The 20,570-nt window shown below is 40.2% G+C and overlaps 1 pseudogene; it reads right to left on the reverse strand.

Annotated features, from left to right (window-relative positions):
- Positions 3,817-4,164, reverse strand: RPL28P3 (ribosomal protein L28 pseudogene 3; annotated as a pseudogene).

Raw genomic sequence — 20,570 nt, forward strand, 5'->3', positions numbered from 1 at the left:
GCCAAAAAGAATCTAAACAGACAAGCCTTGCTGGGCTCCTACCATTCCCAGTCTATTACCATTAGATCATACTCTTTGGTCCAATCACATTTCCATATGCCTTGTCCATTCTTCATTAAATCTAAGCATAAAAATAAACAGCTTTCCTCGGGTCTTTGGGTCTTCTTTTCTGACAGTTCCCATGTTACGTAAAACTTTGATTGAATACGTTTGTTATGGTTTTGTCTCGTTAATCTCTTTTGTTATAGGAGTGTCCCTTATGATGGATGAGGAAAGTTATTATATCTTTTCTCCCTTGCAAACCCAAGACTGGCTAATTCCGGATTTCAGGGTCTTTTTTACTACAGTAAACTCTTTCTAAAGTGGGGCTAATAATATGAACCTAAAAACTAATGTAACAGTTAAATGACATCTGAATCTGAAGAACCTAATACCATGCCTCACTCATAGCAGAGGCTTCTGGTGTTCTCTCTCAATGAATACAATAAAATGAGAAAGCAAATGGCACCATTTCTGTGTCTGCTTGGTCAGCCAGTCTCGTTAACTCATAGGCACACTTCACATCTCATTTATGTTTCCCAGAATGATTAGACACATAATAAATGCTCGATAAAATTTTGTTGAATAGAATTGATTTGAGCAGAATGAGCAGTTATGTGAAGGAACCACAGCTGATTTTAAACAAAGACTCTTTTAACTCTAGAGATTGAAGGGAGAGCATGTTCTCATTGTGAATTGTACCCTAATCCTTACATCAACCATAAATTCTAAAAATAATCAAACTAGATTTTTGGTGAATGATTTATCATCTAGAACAATTGTGTTTTCTTTTAAATTTAAATTTAAGTTTTTTCTTTTTTTAGAGACAGGGTCCTGCTCTGTCTCTCAGCTGGAGTTCAGTGGTACAATCATAATTCATTGCGGCCTGCAACTCCTGGGCTCAAGCAATCCTCCTGCCTCAGCCTCCCAAGTAGCTAGGACTATAGGTACACACCACCTCACTTGGCTAATTTTTATATTTTTTTTGTAGAGAAGGGGTCTTGCTTTGTTGCTCAGGCTGGTCTTGAACTCTTGGCTTCAAGTGATCTTCCCACCTGGGGCTCCCAATGTGTGGGGATTTCAGGCTTGAGCCACCACCCACCCGGCTGCAATTGTAACCAAATATCCTGACCTACTTTCTGCTGAAAATCACCCTACTTTCCTCTTTACATAGAAATATTATCACAAATCCCTTTGAATGAGCAACTGCCTATTTTAGGAAATCAGTGACTGTACTTATATTGGTTACGGCTTCCTTCCTCAGCAAATATTCCCAGGTTGATCTTCAGTTCAGGCGAATGACGCTGGGCAGTATTCGCAAAGGCCCTCTATAGTATAGATGCCTGAGAGCTCTTTAGGCTGTGTGCTAACAATATTTTGATATACTCTGTTTTTCTCCCCCCTAGCTGTTTCCTTTACTGCCTGAGCTGTTTGGTCATGTCTGAACTGCTGCTGATGAAGCCTTTTCTGGCAGGTTGCCCGGGGAGCAGCTCTCCTGTAGATTCCGCCTCTCTCCAGGAGTTGCCTGCCTTCAGTATAATGGGCAACATTGAAAGCAGCAAGGCGTTCGGTCGACAAGGTCAGAGTGCCTTTCATTCCTGCAATAATCAACCAGTGTAGCTCTTCCTCAGACCTGGGGAGAGAGAAGATAGAGGTCAAAAGAGCAATTACATTTCACATTGACTCCAGAAAAGGCCTGGATCACAAGACTGAAAAGAAAAACGGATTCTAGCCTCATTCTTATCCATTCCTTTTCTGGCCATTTTTGTTATTAACACTGCCCTGAAACCATAACAAGTTTTAGCTTGATGACGTGAAAAACGCATTTTCTGCCTGCAGATGAGATCTTTCTTCTTAGACATTTAGCACTGTCAGCATATTGCAAAAGAATGCAAATGAGCTGCAGGATCTATAACCAGAGACAGTAAGCAAAGGCCATTAATTATGTTTTTAAAAAATGTTAACCCTAGCAGACTGTATAACAAGCAATTGTGCTAATTTCAATCTGTAATCAGTCCCAACATTAGCATAACTTTATTTATTTAGCATTAAGGCAACAATTTAGAGAATATAATTTAGTTGGAAATGTCAGTAATTTTGCAGTGGCAGATTGTTGTTACAAAGCTACCTCTATTTGACCTTACAGCTGCCAGGACTAATTACTTTAATTGCATTAATTGCACTGACCATTCTGGTGTTTAATGTAGTTGCTGTTACTCTTTAACCATTGAGCAGATCAGCCTGGCTGAATTCTCAGTAAAATGGGCCAATGCTCCTTTCTAAATCTCCTTTGATTCTTTTCTGCATTTTGAGAGCCCAGATAATTCACAGATTGCTAGTGTTCTCACTGAGACCATGAATTCTGAGGAGAGCTCTTGAAGGAAATAAAAATCTGTACTATATTACTGTATTTCCTAATGGATTCTTATTGCTCACTGCTGACTCGATTAAAGTACAATTAGTTCACTAATGACAAAGAAATGTGTAAGAAATGTTTGTGTCAGTTTCAACAGTAGATTAAAACTCCTTTATTTCACATTTTGGAATGAATTCCTATGAACAAGTCTGTATTCTTATTTCTGCCTTATAGACTGAACCCATAGCTTTCCCTAGGATTGGACTCAACACAAATTGAAATACACAGCTATGTCCTAATTTAAGATCTATGGCTTTGGGAATCTATAAAATAGATATTTCCTCCTGACAAGGAAAGTTTCACAGGACATTTAATAAATACTTTACTACCAGTGATACATCTATTAGTCAAAATGAAGAGCACTTGAAATATCTTTTTTTTTTTTGATACAGAGTTTCGCTCTTGTTGCCCAGGCTGGAGTGCAATGGCACAATCTTGGCTCACCACAACCTCCGCCTCCTGGTTTCAAGCGATTCTCCTGCCTCAGCCTCTCAGGTAGCTGGGATTACAGGCATGCGCCACCATGCCCAGCTAAATTTGTATTTTTAGTAGAGACGGGGTTTCTCCATGTTGATCAGGCTGGTCTTGAACTCCCGACCTCAGGTGATCTGCCTGCCTCGGCCTCCCAAAGTGCTGAGATTACTGGAGTGAGCCACGGCGCCAGGCCTGAAATATCCATTTTTATACATGAAATTATGGGCTTATGGGGCTTGGGCATGGTAGCTCATGCCTGTAATCCCACCACTTTGGGAGGCTGAGGTGGGAGGATCGCTTCAAACCAGGCGCTTGAGACCAACCTGGGCAACATAGAAAGATCATGCCTCTACAAAAAATAAAAATAAAAAATAAAAAATTAGCTGGGCGTAGTGGCCACACCTGTAGTCCTAGCGACTCAGTAGGCTGAGGTAGGAGGATTACTTGAGTTCAGGAGGTCGAAGTTACAGTGAGCTATGATCATGAACTGAAAACTGGGCAACAGAGCGAGACCCTGTCACTATACACACACACACACACACACACACACACACACACACACACACACACATATATATACACACATACATATATATACACATGTATGTATATACTCCGAAAGTCAGAAAAACTAGACTCAGCCAGTTCATCTGTCTACTGAAAGCAGGCAGCAGCTCCTCCTTGCTTCTTCCAGATGACCCTCAAATCTCTGGTTAAACATTTTAACTTTTTTAATTTTTTATTTTATTATTATAATTTTTTTTGAGAAAGCCAGCTGACTTTTTATTGCTTTGGGGGCAGGGACTCAGGAGTTCTTGGTGGGGCGGGTCCGCTTCCTCTTCACCATTACAGGCTTCCGGCTGTGCAGGGCGCTGGCCCTGCGGATGGCAGCCATGCGCAGGTCAGGGCATACTTGTTCTTCAGTATCGTGTGTCTGATGCTGCTGAGCGTGGCGCGAGCATTCTTGTTGATGGTGGTCCGCACATAGGAGGTGGCAGGCTTCCGCTGGCTGGATCTCCGCTTCATGACCACCACACCTCTGCTGTCGGCTGCAGGCTCCACGCCCACAGTCTTGCGGTGAATCAGCCCTTTTTAGCGAAGGAGTTGCGGGCCTTCAAGTTATTGGGCTCTGTGCTGTCTGTCTACTTCTTCCTCTTGATCAGGAAACTGGAGCAGTTCCTCACGACCATCCATTGCAGATGCGCAGACATGGCGGCGGCTTCTCTCGCAGCGGCCTCAGGGGCAATTTAAAAGGTAACACAGATTACTTTGTTCAACGATTTGAATTCCGAAACATTCTTTAATATAACAATATATATCTATCTGTTTTATTATAACTATTATTCACTGGATAATAATATTAATAATAACCAACATGCATTGTGTGACTGCTATGTTCCGGGCACTGTTTTAGGCGCTTGATGTGTATTAATTCATTTCATCCTCCCAACAATTCTATGCAATTATTATTATTAATGTTATTATACATAAAAGGTAATGTAATTCACAGTAGGGCCGGAATTTTAACCCTCATATTTGGGTCTAGAGCTTCTGAGCTTGACCTTGATGCTACATTGCCTCAGAATTGGATGACATTCTTCCTCTAAGGCTACACAGAATTGATAACCAGATTTCCTGCTATGTCAGTTAACTCCTAGCTAGCCATCTTTGATTCCTCATCTGGCAGAGTTCAGTTTGGCAACATTTTTCTTTAAAGTGAGGCACCCGGGTCTGAATACAATTTTCACACTCCAAACATGCAGAGTATTTCTTCAGGCTAAGCGCTACTCGTCTGAAGTTCTCAGCCCATATGTCACTTCCTTCTCCTGACCCCCCAGTCGGCCTTAGGAAGCCTCAGCATCAGCTCTGGTAGTACCACAAGGCTTTCTTTACTGGCATTAACACCCTGAAATTGAAGAATTAATCCAGATTCCCTGCCTTTCACAGGGACGGGAGGGGTGGCTCTATCCACAGTTTTCAACAGTTTCACTGTTAACTAATCAATCCCACACAAAACAAAACAAAACAAAATTCACAAAACTCTTGATTCCTTCAGATTTCAGCTCTATATTCAGATTACATGGTATCCCTAGAATGAGGAGGCAAATGAATAGCTCTACAGGTGTGTGGTTTTTTTGTTTTGTTTTGTTTTTAATTCATCTCTGGATCCTCACCAGGTGTGGAGCACTCATTGGAGACTTTCTGACAGGTAGTAAACCCTTCAGACATAGTGTTTATACCTTCCTCCAAGGCCCCTTTATAGCCAGCTATTTCCCTGAAAATAACCTGTGACTCTGATGAACCCGGATTCTCACTATGTCTCCAACACAGCTCCACTTTCTGTCTGCATGAATAGACTCATGTGGTTGCTCTCCCCTTTCCCATCCTCTTTGCTTTCTGCTTCCACAAAAGATGTGTGGAATCCTTTCCTTCTGTAAGTTCACCTTAAGCAGCACATCCAGTGCTTTTCTAGAGCCTTTGCAGTGGGTTATTCTGTCATTTCTGCCCTCTCAGCGCCTCTCCCCTGTGCCTCCTTTGCTCTGTTCCTCTGGACTGCCTCACTGTGTCCTTATTTCTTGTGTGGGCCATCACAGTAGTTGCCCAGCTTCCGGCTTCCAGTTTTCTTCACACTGCTGGCACTCGCCTATGGAAAATCACCCTGGGGCTCCCTGCCTGATAGAGAACACTTTTTGTCTGCAGTTGTCAGCCACATCTGCATTTTCAGTCTGAAGGTCATTCTTCTAGTGGAAAAGACAGAAGCAAAATGGAGTTAAGACATTCTATTTTCTCTTTGTCTCATTACCATTACATCATAATCTCTTAGAAATGTGGCTAACAGTTCCTTGTTGTTCTTACTCTGTACACATTAGTAAAAGTCATTTTTTAACCTTTTATTCAGCAAAATTGTGCTTATTTTTCACTTTATTCTATATGACACTATTCTTCTAGGTTTGTGCTATTGCATTGCTTTTGTTCTGGGCTACAAGTTCTTTGATCTTTGAAACATGCCTTTTGATATCTGAGCTCCAAGGAGAGTTCCCAAGCAACCATATTGATTTCTTTAGTTTTTCTTCCATATCTGGCTAATTTTTATTATATAGTTAGAATTTAATTTTCTAGTCCTTCTGGACCTATTTATACTCTTCTAGAAAACCCTCTGGCCATGGGACCAAACATATATTTTCTTTTAACTTTTTGAAATGTGCCTTTCCATAGTCTAGGATGTGTGTCAGATACTGCTCAGCCTGTCTATCTTTTGCTCAGATGGATTTTAAGGCTCTCTTACTTTCTCCCAAGGTTCTCAGCATTTCTTTGTTCTAAACCTGTTCTTTCTTGAAGATCGGACTCAAGTTCAGAGTGTCCTGCAAAGTTCAAGTTGACAGACTACATCTATTTATTTGCTCCAACTTCTGTTCCTGGAGGTGAGACGGGTCCCAAATCCTACACTGCTTAGTGATGATAGTTGGTCACACCAAGCTTTGGCTCCTGTGCACAGGCACTAGCAAAGAATACCAAGGAGCAAGGATGACAGCTACAGGGGAGGTACCCAGCCTCTTTACACTGGAATGAAGGCCGCCAGGTCAATGTGTTATCCGACATAAATGAATGTGGTCTCCTTTGCCCAGAGGTGTTCCTTTGATGGTATAGAGAAGGAGATGGCAAAGCAGAGGAGGCAAGGGGACCAACATGGGAGGAAGAGAAAGCAATGAGGGGTGGGGTGGGGAGGTGGGGGACTACCATCTACTGAGACTTTATTTTGTGCCAGGCACTGTGCTAGGCATTTACACACACCTATCACTTATTTCTCCTAATACTACTGTAACACATAGGGAAACCGAGCATGATATAAGTTGACTTCTGACAGTCACAGAGCTAAGGAATGTGAAAACCAGGAATTAAACCTATATTTGAAGATGACAGTTAGGATAACAACAGTAACACAATGCCAAAAAAACAAAACCAGAAACATACAGTTCATTGCAATACAGGTATCTCAAGTCATGTGCGTCACAAAAATAATAACCTTATAAAAAAGATATACGTGTACGTCAAAGCCTTATGACAAATTTCAAGAGAATAGCTATTTTACCTTACATTATTAATAATTTTGATGTATATTACTAGAATTTTGTTGTATCTACTTTGTTGAAAATTGTACCCTTTATTTGAATATTTTTGCTGGGCAGAGTTTTTTGTTTATTTTTAGTTTTAAATCCTATTGATGATACTTCTTAGCCAAATGGGAAGAAAAATAAATAACACCATAGGGATAGTTACATACTTTGTGACCTATAAAGGAACTAGTCTTCTTGGTACATTACTGTCAGCTAAACATATAAATGTTCTTTGAAAAGTCTGCTTCTAGATGTTAATGGAGGTATTGATTTTCACCTCTGTCTTTTTTTGATAATGCCTATTTACTGTGCTACCTCCTCATCTCCATTCTGAGCTCTGCTCTCTCAAGTGTTAGTGTCAGAGGCAAGTGCCAAAACCTAGGTGACTAAGTGGGTGTCAAGCCAGCTGCAGAAACAGAGGGAAGACTTAACTAATGGCACAGGTCTTCTAAGTCAATGGACCCTGTCTCTCCTAATTTCATTATCAATTCACCACAGGAACCTGACAGAGTCCGTATGCTAAGTCAAATTCAAAAGCTCAAAAATGAAAAGGGAAAAAAAATCCATTTTCAGAGTCAGGTAAAAACATCATAATTCAGAGAAAATCTTTAGTATTGATTGATAGCCGCAGACTCCTGTCCAAAGGTTTCCTCTTTAAATTAAGAATACTAATGATTTCTCATGCTGAAATTAATAATCCCAAAGCTGCACATATTCAAAAAAGACACTAATTGTTGTACTTCAACCAGGAAGTGCCAGTGAGCAGATGCCTAACCTGTTTCCTTCAGTGACTGAGGCTGATGACGTGTCATGGTGTTCCTGAGAATCATATGCTTCCCTGGGAGGCATTCTTGTGTTTGCCAAGAGGCCACCAATTTGAGACGGAATATCCTGTTTGTTGAGGCTTCTATAACATATGATCCAATGGCTCTCTGATAAACAGATTTGTTTAAGACAAAAGTTCTTGCCTAAGTCATTTGGAGACTGAATTGTGCTTGTGGAGGAGGCGACGCAGACCCCACATGGAGACAAGCCAGGGCGGTCTGGGGCTAGAGCAAGGCACTGATCAGTTCCAGAGGAAACCAGAGCTTTCCAGATAGCCACAAAGAATTGAAACCAGGAGAGAGGAAATAGCTATTTGTGGGGAATAGGAAATTGATATTGAGAGGAAATTGATACAGAAAGATACACAGATATAGTCATTTTGCTACTATTTTCATTTATTCTGTGCTATTGTATATATTTGTGTAAGCCACATGAAAATATTTTTAGAATTGTGTAAGGGTATGAATGAATAGGTAAAGTCTCTTTAAAATATTTTAATTTTTTTTTTTTTTTTGAGAGAAAGTCTCGTTCTGTTGCCTAGGTTGGAGTGCAGTGGCGTGATCTCAGCTCACTGCAACCTCTGCCTCCTGTGTGCAAGCTATTCTCCTGCCTCAGCCTCCCGAGTAACTGGGATTGCAGGTGTGTGCCACCATGCCCAGCTAATTTTTTCTATTTTTAGTAGAGACGGGATTTCACCATGTTGGCCAGGCTGGTCTTGAACTGCTGACCTCAAGTGATCCACCTGCCTTGGCCTCCCAAAGTGCCAGGATTACAGACATGAGCTATTGCACTCAGCCCGTTTTAAGTTATTTTACTGGCAAATACTATCATTAGAAATTAGGCCAGGTGCAGTGGCTCACAACTGTAATCCTAACAGTTTGGGAGGCTGATGTGGGAGGATTACTTAAGGCCAGGAGTTTGAGATGAGCCTGAGCAACATGATGAGACCTCACCTCTACAAATAATAATAATAAAAAAATTAGCCGTGTATGGTGGCACATGCCTGTAGTGCTAGCTACTCGTGAGGCCGAGGCAGGAGGATCTTGTGAGCCCAAGAGTTCAAGGCTGCAGTGAGCTACGATCATGCCACTGCACTCCAGTGCACTCAGTGACACACAGTGAGACCCTGTCTCAAAACATAAAAATAATAAAAAAAAACTTTGTTAGAAGTAAGTAACTTTGTTAGAGGAAAAGAGTAGTTAGAAACCTTTCCAGAGTTCCCTTACAGAAAAAAAGATAAAGAGGTACCTATGTTACTAGTTAGTTACCCATCTGTTTCTAGAAAGCTTTTTGTGTCAAAATATTGGAGTCTTTTGCAACAGCCTCAGAATTTGTTTTTTGGGGTAAGCCTACCATTTTGATTGGTGCACACATTAAAGAAATTTAAATTTAAAATGTATGCTCGAATACCCTTCTGTTCATCTATGTATTATGGGACTTTACTGTTTCTATTGTAATTAGTCATTCATATGCTATCTTCCCCACCAGAATGAGTTCCTGGTGGGATCACAAAGTCTCTAACCCCTGTAAAAGTCCCTAGAACAGAGAAAGTACACAGTAGACACTCTCTGGGGATTAAGTTATACAGTGTAACTATTTTGCAGAATAGTTACAAGGATTAAATAAGATGACATAAAATCCAACATGTATCTACAATAAATCACAATAGGAATTCAACTGTTAGTTCTCTCCCTTTCTTTGAACTAAAGAAAAGATATTTTTCAATTTGTAAAGCAGCGTAGAACACGAAATATCAAGTTTCACCTAAAAAATATATATATTCTATAGAACTTGGTTTGCTTTTAAGAATGATCATATTTGAGGCCAGGCGCAGTGGCTCACGCCTGTAATCCCAGCACTTTGGGAGGCTGAGGTGGATCACTGCAAGCCAGGAGTTTGAAACTAGCCTGGTCAACATGATGAAACCCTGTCTCTACTAAAAATACAAAATTTAGACTGGCATGGTGGTGCGCACCTGTAATCCCAGCTTCTTGGGAGGCTCAGGCAGGAGAATCACTTGAACCTGGGAGGCTGAGGTTGCAGTGAGCCGAGATCGCATCACTGCACTCCAGCCTGGGTGAAGAGGGAGACTCCATCCAAAAAAAAATCATATTTGATATATTTGGAAATTTAAAGCCTAGGGAGATGGACGGGAACAGAAAAAAAATTGGAAAACAGAAAATTTGGCTTTCTTGGCCGGGCGCAGTGGCTCACACCTGTAATCCCAGCACTTTGGGAGGCCGAGGCGGGCGGCTCACGAGGTCAGGAGATTGAGACCATCCTGGCTAACACGGTGAAACCCTGTCTCTACTAAAAATACAAAAAATTAGCCAGGCGTCGTGGCGGGTGCCTGTAGTCCCAGCTTCTCGGGAGGCTGAGGCAGGAGAATGGCGTGAATCCAGGAGGCGGAGCTTGCAGTACGCCGAGATCAAGCCACTGCACTCCAGCCTGGGCGACAGAGCGAGACTCCGTCTCAAAAAAAAAAAAAAAAGAAAGAAAATTTGGCTTTCTTCTTATCAATGCTTTGTGGGGAAACAGCCTTAGGAAACGGTTGGCCTCCCTTCTTCCAGCCTCTCTTGTCACTGCCTGGAACTAATCTGGATCTTTTGGTCCATCTTGGATGTACCTCCAGGCCACAGGCCCAAACTAAGGCTGAGGTACTTTAAAGGAGCAATGGGAGGTTTGGTGCCAATGGCTCAGATAAATATTTTCTCAGACTAAGTCACTTATACTGCATGAATTCCATGGATGAGACAGCCTCTGAGCTCTTCCTCTGGAGAGTTGCCTAGCATTTCCACCTTGCAAACAGATAAGCTTTTCCTCTGAAGTCAGGGCTGCTGAGGAACATCTATTTCTCCAGGTGTTATAAGGATAGGAAACCCCTGTAGAAGAAAATGCAACGTTGATATACAGAGGGAGGGAGCAGCAATTTGCACCTAAAATGTTTTTAGTCAGTTAAGGCCAAGCTATGGCTTTGGGCTCATAGGAGGAACAATTCCCCAGATATGGTAGACATAGAGATTTGTCAGACAATTTATGTGCAGGTTTAAAAATATCCTATGTGAAATACAAATAAAAAAGATAGTAACTGCTGTGCCACAAGTGGTCTGGTCTACTCTTGTGAAAATGACCATTAGGCTACACTGAATTTTCTTTGTGATTGATTTCCATCAGACCATAACTAGCTACAAAAGTGTGACCGAAGGATGTTTCTTTCTGAAAACAATGTCTACCGTTTTAATGATTTCCAAGCACATCTTTCTCCATGAAACTTCTAATCTCTTTAAATTGCTAGTGAAAGGGGTTTTAAAACATCTAGTTACTGATTCCTGCTTCTTAGAGCTGTAATTCAAAGAGGAGCAGTGCCTCTGATCACTTAGAAGAGACTTTGAGAAGTACCTCTACAAAGACATCTTAAAGTAAACAGAGCAATCTTACTCTGGTCTCTGTCTGTCACTGAGGCATACGTGTGGGAGGACTGATGGCAAACAGCACGGAGCTGATTTCAGTTACAAATAATTTAATCGTTTCTTCTTTCAAGGGGAAGCCAAACAAGGTTCTCCGGAATTTTCTCTGTCTATCAACAAAATGATCTGGTCATCTATGTTCTTTCATTTCAAAAACTGGGACATATTCCAGACTCTGTGGTCTGTCCAGAAATCCCAAAAAATGAGTCCAAGAATCTGAGTCAGGTGTTAGCACCGACCAATTTGTTGGCCTCAGGGTTTTCATTAAAAAGGCAATATGGGCTGGGTGCGGTGGCTCACACCCGTAATCCCAGCACTCTGGGAGGCCTAGGGAGGAGGATTGCCTGAGACCATGAGTTTGAGACCAGTGTGGGCAACACAGTAAGATGCCCCCCACCCCCTATCTCTACAAAAAGAAAAAAGTCAGTATGTTTAAATATCACTCTGACAACCAATTCTAAACACTTTTGGCTCTATTCAACCTAAAGATTGATATTTGACCATATAGATTAATAGTTCTCATTGTCTGCACTTCAGAAACACTGAAGACCTTAATAAAGAAAAGAAAAACGAAGGGAAGAGAATAATATAGATACATAATGAAAAAAATTCAATCCACACAAAAAAGTATACAGTGAATTAATGCTCTCTCCCATCCAAGCTTCAGTTTTCCAGTCTCTAACTCTCTTTCAACTGGGATTAAAAAACATACAGATGCCCAAACCTCCCCTCATTCCCACTGGGTCAGTATCCTCTGGCATGGGTACTTCTGGTAAGTTCCCTGGGTGATCCTATTGCCCAATCAGATTAAGAACCACTGACTTTGATGGTGTGGCAGAATTCCTGGACCTCATGCTGGTGGGAACAGTATAAGATGCGTGGGTCTGGGGACTCACTGAGTATCAGACTTTAGAATTGGAGAACCCTTATTATGTGCACTTGTTAGGGTGAAAAGGTTTTGTGGTACTTGCTTAAGAGGCAGTTTAATATAGTCAAGACAAAACAACACTACAACAAAACAAACTTATGACTTGGGATGTAAGAAAAATCACTAGATATGACTTTACCAATACTTCGTTGTATGACATTGCCATCACATTGGAAAACTTAGGAGGCTGAAGTAAATGAAAGTGTAATGTTTACCTTGCTAATATTCTGTAGTGTAAAAGGTAGATGACCTACCCTGGATCAATCTATACTTTTTTCCTAACACTACCTGGTTTTGTTCAGGTACCTAAGCCCTCTGACATAGCCCAAAAACTTCAAGGGAAGCTGACTCCCACATGGCCTATGGGTGAGGCGGATTGATTGAGGGATAAGTCCTTTTCTCTTTAGGAATGGGTATATGATCCAGTTCCAGAAAATATAAGATGCTGACAGATTTGTAGGAAGTTTCTGAAACTATGAGGATCTAGTTCCTCCCTCCCACCAAATGTGAACAAGAAAGCACCAGAACTCTGACTGGTACTGTGGCCATTCTGTGATTAACGTGGAGTGGACTTTAGTACTGGGCTTTCACTCTGAAGGCAGAGTGAACAGACTAATAGAACCCAGACCCAGGTCGATGTATTGAACGATGTCATCCAACAATGCTGAAGCCCTCACTATATCTGGACTTTCTGATAGATGAGCCAATAAATCTATTGTTTAAACAATTCTGAGCTTAGTTTTCTGTTACTTGAAGCTGAAATCCACCTCAGTAATCCGTCTTATTTAAGTCTAAATCCCTCACTCAAGGTCTTAATTCATTCCCTGCTTTCAGGTATCTTTCATTAGCTTCTTGGCAATTTACCTTGTTTTTATGTTTTTTTTTTTTTTTTTTCAGTTTTATGACCTCCACTCACCCTGATAACTTAGTGACTACTAATCTGCCATTTTTATCATCTCTTCTCTGCCTACTCTTGGCCCATCACAAATTAGCATTTAGACGCGTTGAAGTTTACGTGTATATATCTATATAGCTCTTGTTCACAGTAAGGGGATACTTTACTAGTGACAAGTGGAGAGGAAGCTAATGTACAGTCAGTCACCCATTTTAGAAATCTAAATTGGAAATTGTAAAAGAAATTTCCAATGTCCACTTCCTAGCTTTAATTAAGTAAAGGACCATTTGAATCCTGATGCTAAAGGATCAAGAAATAGATTATTTCATGCAGAATGTAAAAGTTCTTTCTTCTTACCTTGGGGAACTGATTTTATAGGAATTCAGGGGAAGGAAGGGAGGGAGGGAGGGGAAAATCCATTTTTTTCCTAGTTTTACATCTCAGGGCGTTTTCACGTATAACTTCAGTTAAGTCTTACAACAAGTCTGCAAGGTAAGTAACTTTTATCTCCACTTTATGTTTGGGGGCAACTGAAGCTTAAATAAATAATGTTCTCAAGGCCACTCAAATGTGTGTCAGAGCCAGATTTACACCAAGGACTGTAAGACTCCAGAGTCATATATTCTCTACAACTTAAACCTCATCAGCTCTTTGCCCTATCCCTGGCAAGTTTTTCTGACTTTTGCAGTCTTCTCCAGTGGTCTCTTTACTGAGCAAGTGGTCAGTGTCATGGCGACGGCCTTCTAGCTTTGGGCTGCTTGTGGCTTCCATTCCTGGGTAGTTCTGCCCTTCTCCTCAGGCCCTTGGAAGCCAGTGATAACGCCCGGCTGCTTCTCTCCCAGGCAACTCTGGTAAATACAAGGTCACTGAATAAATGGCTGGTTCCCATCAAATATTTCCCTGACTTGATTCCCCTACCATACTTCGGTGGTCTTGTGGTCGCCACATATGAAATTATAGCCCTGGTTATAGTCACCAACCTGGTCTTGTGGATCGTTGCAATTGATTGAATTGTTCACAAATACCCACTACTTGTTTTTATGCTGCATATTTTCTCTGTTTTCTCTTAAGTAATATGTCTCAGCTCTTAGTGAAACCTGCCACAGTGCCCAGGAACACACATTTATATACTCTCTGACATGTCAAGCTTAAAGTATGATGAATCACCCTGAGCAGGCTGGGGTGGCTCTCTTTTTAGAATTATTCCCAACCACGACATCAGAACACTGTAATAATATGGAGAGAAAGTGGATGGGAAGAAGCATTGACAACAAGGAAAGAAAGAAGGGAGGGAGGGAGGGAAACAGATCTGGAATGGTTGAACCTATAGAACTGCTGATACGATTTTATCAATTCTATTTACATAGACATTGTTTTGGCTCAGTGATGTCAATATCAGTACTTCTGAAAATTATATTTAGAGGGTAACAATGTAACGAGATCTAGACATCAACTCAAAGATAAAAGCAGAATTTTCTTTTGGAGTTGCCAGGGGGCATCTGGCCATTCTTATTGAAAAAAGCAATGTCCTGATTTTCTTATTTCTCTCCCACTACTTTACCACCCCCAGTAGTTTGAGGGACATGGGGAAGGAAGAGCACAGATCTCCACATTTCTTGAATGTTTCTCATATGCTAGGAATGTTCATGTCTGTGAATTCATTTGATCATCACAAAAACTGTTCAGTGAAGGTAGGTGAAAATTATTATCCCTGTTTTTTGTCCTTAAGATAAGGGAGGCACATAGAAATTGAGTAATGTTCCCTACCATTGCTAGTGAGTGACTAAGTGGAGACTTGGACCTCCTCTTGTACCAGGCCCTTTGATATGGTTTGGCTGTGTCCCCACCCAAATCTCATCTTGACTGTAGCTGCCATAATCCCCACATGTTGTGGGAGGGATCAGGTGGGAGGTAATTGAATCATGGGAGTGGGTCTTTCCTATGCTGTTCTCATGATAGCGAATAAATCTCATGAGATCTGATGGTTTTATAAAGGTGACTTCCCCTGCACAGGCTCTCTTGCCTGCCGCCACGTAAGACATGCCTTTGCCCCTCCTTCACCTTCTGCCATGATTGTGAGGCCTCCTCAGCCATGTGAAACTGTGAATTCATTAAATCTCTTTCTCTTTATAAATTACCTAGTCTCAGGTATGTCTTTATTAGCAGCATGAGAACAGACTAACACACCCTTCACGTGCATTGTCTCATTTAATTTACACAACACTTTGATGAGGTAGGTAAAATTCTCTCATAGTTCTGGAGGCCAGAAGTCTAAAATCAAGGTGTCAGCAGGGCCATTCGCCCTTCAACGGCCCTAGAAGAGAATCCTTCCTTGCTTATTCCAGTTTATGGTGGCTCCTTGTGTTCCTTGCCGTGTGCCTCTGTTTTCATGTGGCCTTCTTTCCTGTGTCTCTGTGCCTTCTATTCTGTCTCTCCCAAGACACTTTCATTAGCTGAAGGCCAACTCTAATCCAGTATGAGCTCATCTTGGTCTTTTTTTTTTTTTTTTTTTGAGATGGAGTCTCGCTCTGTCGCCCAGGCTGGAGTGCAGTGGCATGATCTCGGCTCACTGCAAGTTTTGCCTCCCGGGTTGACTTTTTTTTTTTTTTTTTTTTTTTTTTTGAGACAGGGTCTCACTCTGTCTCCCAGGCTAGAGTGCTGTGGTGTGATCTGGGCTCACTGCAAGCTCTGCCTCCTGGGTTCACACCATTCTCCTGCCTCAGTCTCCCGAGTAGCTGGGACTACAGGCCCCCATCACCATGCCTGGCTAATTTTTTGTATTTTTAGTAGAGATGGGGTTTCACTGTGTTAGCCAGGATGGTCTTGATCTCTTGACCTCGTGATCCGCCCACCTTGGCCTCCCAAAGTGCTGGGATTACAGGCGTGAGGCCACCAAGCCCAGCCAATCATTTTCTTAATTATATCTGCAAAGACCCTTTTTCCAAATTAGATCACATTCTGAGATTCAGGATGGACAAGGATTTTGGGGAAATACTACTCCATCCACTAGAGGAGGTCAGGAAATCGTACGCTTAAGTTCACAGCTATGTGGCTAAGAATCTAATTACTACCCTTGTTTATTTGATACTAAGTCTTGTTTATAACCACTTCAGAGACAACCCTGGGGATACACAGAGTTAAGTCGTGGGCTTTGCATGGGGCTCAAAGATTTGCAATAATAGTTAGAAAGGAGAGCTAGAATAACAGTTAACTAAAATTAATGTGGCTCTATTTGAGGGCCCCCCACCTAGCAAGTGTGGTAGTGTGGAAATGATAAAAACTGCATGAAGATCTTTGGTGAAACAATCAAAGCTGAAGAACCATGTCTTAGGGGACTCTATTGGGAAAGGGATTAATGTAATGGAGACTATGACAAGTTACTGTGATGGCATAGAACTTAATGCTAAGGCAATAAAGTGAGAAGCTCCCAAGAGTTCACAGGCTTAGAAAATAAATACAAGAGTAGAAGATTTTAAATGAATTAGTGAACACAACATTCTTGGATATTCTTAAGCATTTAAGAAGATCGATAAAAATTAGGAATTACTTTTTTGCACTGTGCTTCTTTAGTGGAGATACATTTGCAAAACTGGTCTTAATTTTAGTCATTGATTTGTAAATATTATACACGGATTATATAGAACTTAGTAGAAATTTCTAGCCGTTCTGCTGTAAGTTTTCTACCCTCTTTCCCAAATCTTGGGAAGAAAAATCATGATTCAGAAATTAGGAGAAAGAATCAAAGAAAGGTCAGAAAAGGTGGAGGGGAGGAGAGGGCATCGAACCAATCTAGCTAATGAAAAACACAGACAAGAAATATGATAACATGGAAATCAGATTTACAATGGTGAATTAAGTCTAAAATTCAAAAGCAGTCTTTACAGTCACTTGCGAAACATTTTTCTTTGATTTCCTTACAAACTTCCTTCTGTTGATAAATTGCAGCATTTTCACCATGGAATGGTTAAGCACTACATTTGGGGCATCCATCACTGAGCGAATCATCCAAATCTAACAAAATGAACATTGTGGTAGTGCTGCTGCAATTCTAATGCCCTGGGAGTCTTCAAGGTGCTCCAGAGAAAGAAAAGGAAAAACTCTGTTGTCAAATGTTTGGAATCAATTAAATCAAAGTAAGACGATCTTGGATTGTATTTATGAAGTCATAAAAACATTTTATCAAAACAGTCATCTAGAGAGTACTCAAGAAACTAAAAATAGAACTACCATATGATCCAGCAATCCCACCTGTGAGTACATATCCAAAAGAAGTGAAATCAATATATTGAGGCAACATCTGCACACCTAAGTTCATTGTAGCATTATTCACAATAGCCAGGATATGGAAATGACCTAGTGTCCATCAGTGGATGAATGGATAAGGAAAATGTGGTATATACACACAATGAAATACTACTCAGCCTTAAAAAAAAAGGGGGGGGGATATCCTGTCATTTGCAACAACATGGATGAATCTAGAGGACATTATGCTAAGTGAAATAAGCCAGGCACAGAAAGACAAATACTGTATGATCTCACTTATATGTGGGATCCAATAAAGTTGAACTATGGTTACCAGCGGCTGGGGTGGGGTAAAAGGATGGGAATGGAGGAAATGTGGAATTGTTAATTAAAGGGTACAAAGTTTCAGAGAGACAGGGAAGTTAGGTTTTGAGATCTATTGCACAGCAGGGTGACTCTAGTTAATAATAACTAGGAGAGTAAATTTCATACGTCTCACCATAAAAAATGATAGGGAAGGTAGATGATGGATATGTGAATCAGTTTGATTTAATCATGCCATGTTGTGTACATATATCAAAACATCACATTGTACCCCATAAATGTGCACAATTATGATTTGTGAATCAAAATAATTTTAATACTAAATTTTTAAATTTCTTCAGGTACCTCAGAAAGGACTCTCTTTCATTAAGAAGTATAGAAAGTGTTTATATATATGTGTCTACTTATGAGGCTAAGAGGGAAAATGTGTTTTTATTTAAGCCTGCCGTTTAAACAATGGAGAGAATAGGCCATCCATTAAGAGTTTGATCCCATCCAACTAGCATCATGTATGAGAACTTATTTGTCCCTTTCACATTTATACTCTAGCCCTGATTTTGCTTGGCAACTTACTGGAGAATTTTCAGTATCTTGAAAGCTCCTTAGTATTTTGAGAATGGCACTGAATTGTTTCCCTTGTAACAGATTTAGCAAGTGAAAAATGGAGGGTTTTTTTTCCCCTCATTTTCAGACATAATCTTGGCAGAATGTTTAAAAGAAAGATAAACAAAATGTCAGGAACACTTACAAAAGAACACTGCAACAGAGATGCAAGAGGTGGCAGGGAACAGAATAAATGGATATTGTCATACAGATGGCAGCTGCTGCTAGATTGTCCAATACAGTGATATTTAGTTTTCTTCCATGGACACTGAACTCGTTTCAAATAGCCCTGACACGGCAAAAGTGGAAAGGAAGCGCCTTTCCTTTTCTTCTCTGCCACATGGGGTAAGTCATAAAGTCATTCTTGGTACCACGGACTCATCTATTTCCAGAGAGGTTATGAGTGTAAGTGGGAGAATAAATGTTTAGCTTCCCAAATCACCTTGTTCCCTGGGAGGTTTCATCAAACCTAGCAGAATCTGTATGGATGCTCCAAATCTGTCTGTTCTAAGCACCCACAGATGTTTTCTCTTGGCACTCATAATAAGGATCTAGGATTAAATGTTACCATTTAATAATTAATTCCATTCAAACTCTCCCTCCCTTCTGTTGAAGGCTGGCACTCTGGTATAACTGCTGATGTGCTGACATCCTGGAACACCCGAAGTGCTGATTTCCATGCTATTTGTAACATTATATTCAGGATAAAAGTACTTTAATTTCCCAAGATGTAGTATTGTAGTTTTCATAAACTGGACCATATGCTGGGATGTGTTCATACACCTGCAGTTAGTTACATTTATATGTAAAAGTTGTCAGTTGATTTCTTTCAAAGAAATTGAGAATGTGGATTCTCTAACATTCTCCTAAATTATTTTCAATGTGAAATCCCTATGCCTTTATTAGACATATAATATGTTATCACAGAATTATACAAGACTCCTGTTTCTGAATCAGGAATCATCGTCCTCTTTTAAATCACACTACACATCTATAAAATTTTAACATTTGAGGAATCTGAGTGAGAGGTATCCATATAGTCTTTATATTATTTTCTCAACTTTTTGGTAATTCTGAAGTTATTTCAACACAAATCATTAAAAAATTACACTAAATATATGAAGTAGCTTGGTATATTCTTTTAAAATAAAACATCTTCTGTTTTATCTAAAAAAATCTGTCATTTTATATACAGAAAACATGTAGTTTAAAGGTTCTACCCCGCTACCTATAGAAACATAAAGTAACAGATATGTTTGTTGTGTAACTAACAAGGTCACAGGCTGTTCAGCTGCTGGAGCAAACTCGATTAAGCCCGTGATAATCTTTTGAAAGATTGTAATTTATCTCCATTTGAAGGGCATTATCTTAGTTCTTCAGCTATCACAGGGAGCAAGGGTAACAAATATTCAGTGATGAATTTTTGAAAGCTGTAGTCAGATCTTGTTCTCTTAAACCCTTCTAAAGGGCTGTCAAAAGGCAATGAAATAAAAATTGTCAAATTTATCCACAGACTTACATAATGGCTGTTATCTGAGAAAGTGGTTTATGATTCATACAGTCACTACCTTTACTTAAGCAATTTCTTGTTTGTGTTAGATTGAAAACAATCTGTTCCCATTGCTCACGTGGGAGAGATTACCACAAAAGGCTCTTGTTTACTTGCAATAAGAAGCTATGAGACACAAAATCCATGAAGAGGGGATCTATACTCTCAAAACAGTGTGGTACTTTCATTAAGGGTCAGCATTATTGACCACCTTTTTACCGTGTTTTCTTGATTTAAATGTAGATTTTGGAGTCTACAAGTAGCTTTGAATATTTGAAATGGATTTTGAAACTAATTTTTAAGGAGGACGAGAGGAAAATAACTGATTTAGTATCTTCTGCATGGTAGGGGCTCTGCTTGGTAAACAGGTTATTTTTATTGAATTTTGCGAACAACTCCCATGAGGTATATATGATTTACATCTTACAAATAAGCACATTAAACACGGAAGCTGAAGTACACAGCACCCATTCACATTGTGAAGTCATTGAGAATTGAATTGGGGAAATATTCACCACAAAGATATATCTTTCCACTACTATCTATGCTTGCAACTGTTTGTATTTTCTTCCACTTTCTGTTGCTTATAACAGAATACCTGAAACTAGGTAAATTATAAAGAAAATGAATTTATTTCTTATAATTATGGAGGCCAAGAAGTCCAAGATCTAGGGGCTGCACCTGGCGAGAGCC

The sequence above is a fragment of the Homo sapiens genome, chromosome 5 (genome assembly GCF_000001405.40).
Source record: "Homo sapiens chromosome 5, GRCh38.p14 Primary Assembly".
Classification (NCBI taxonomy): domain Eukaryota; kingdom Metazoa; phylum Chordata; class Mammalia; order Primates; family Hominidae; genus Homo; species Homo sapiens.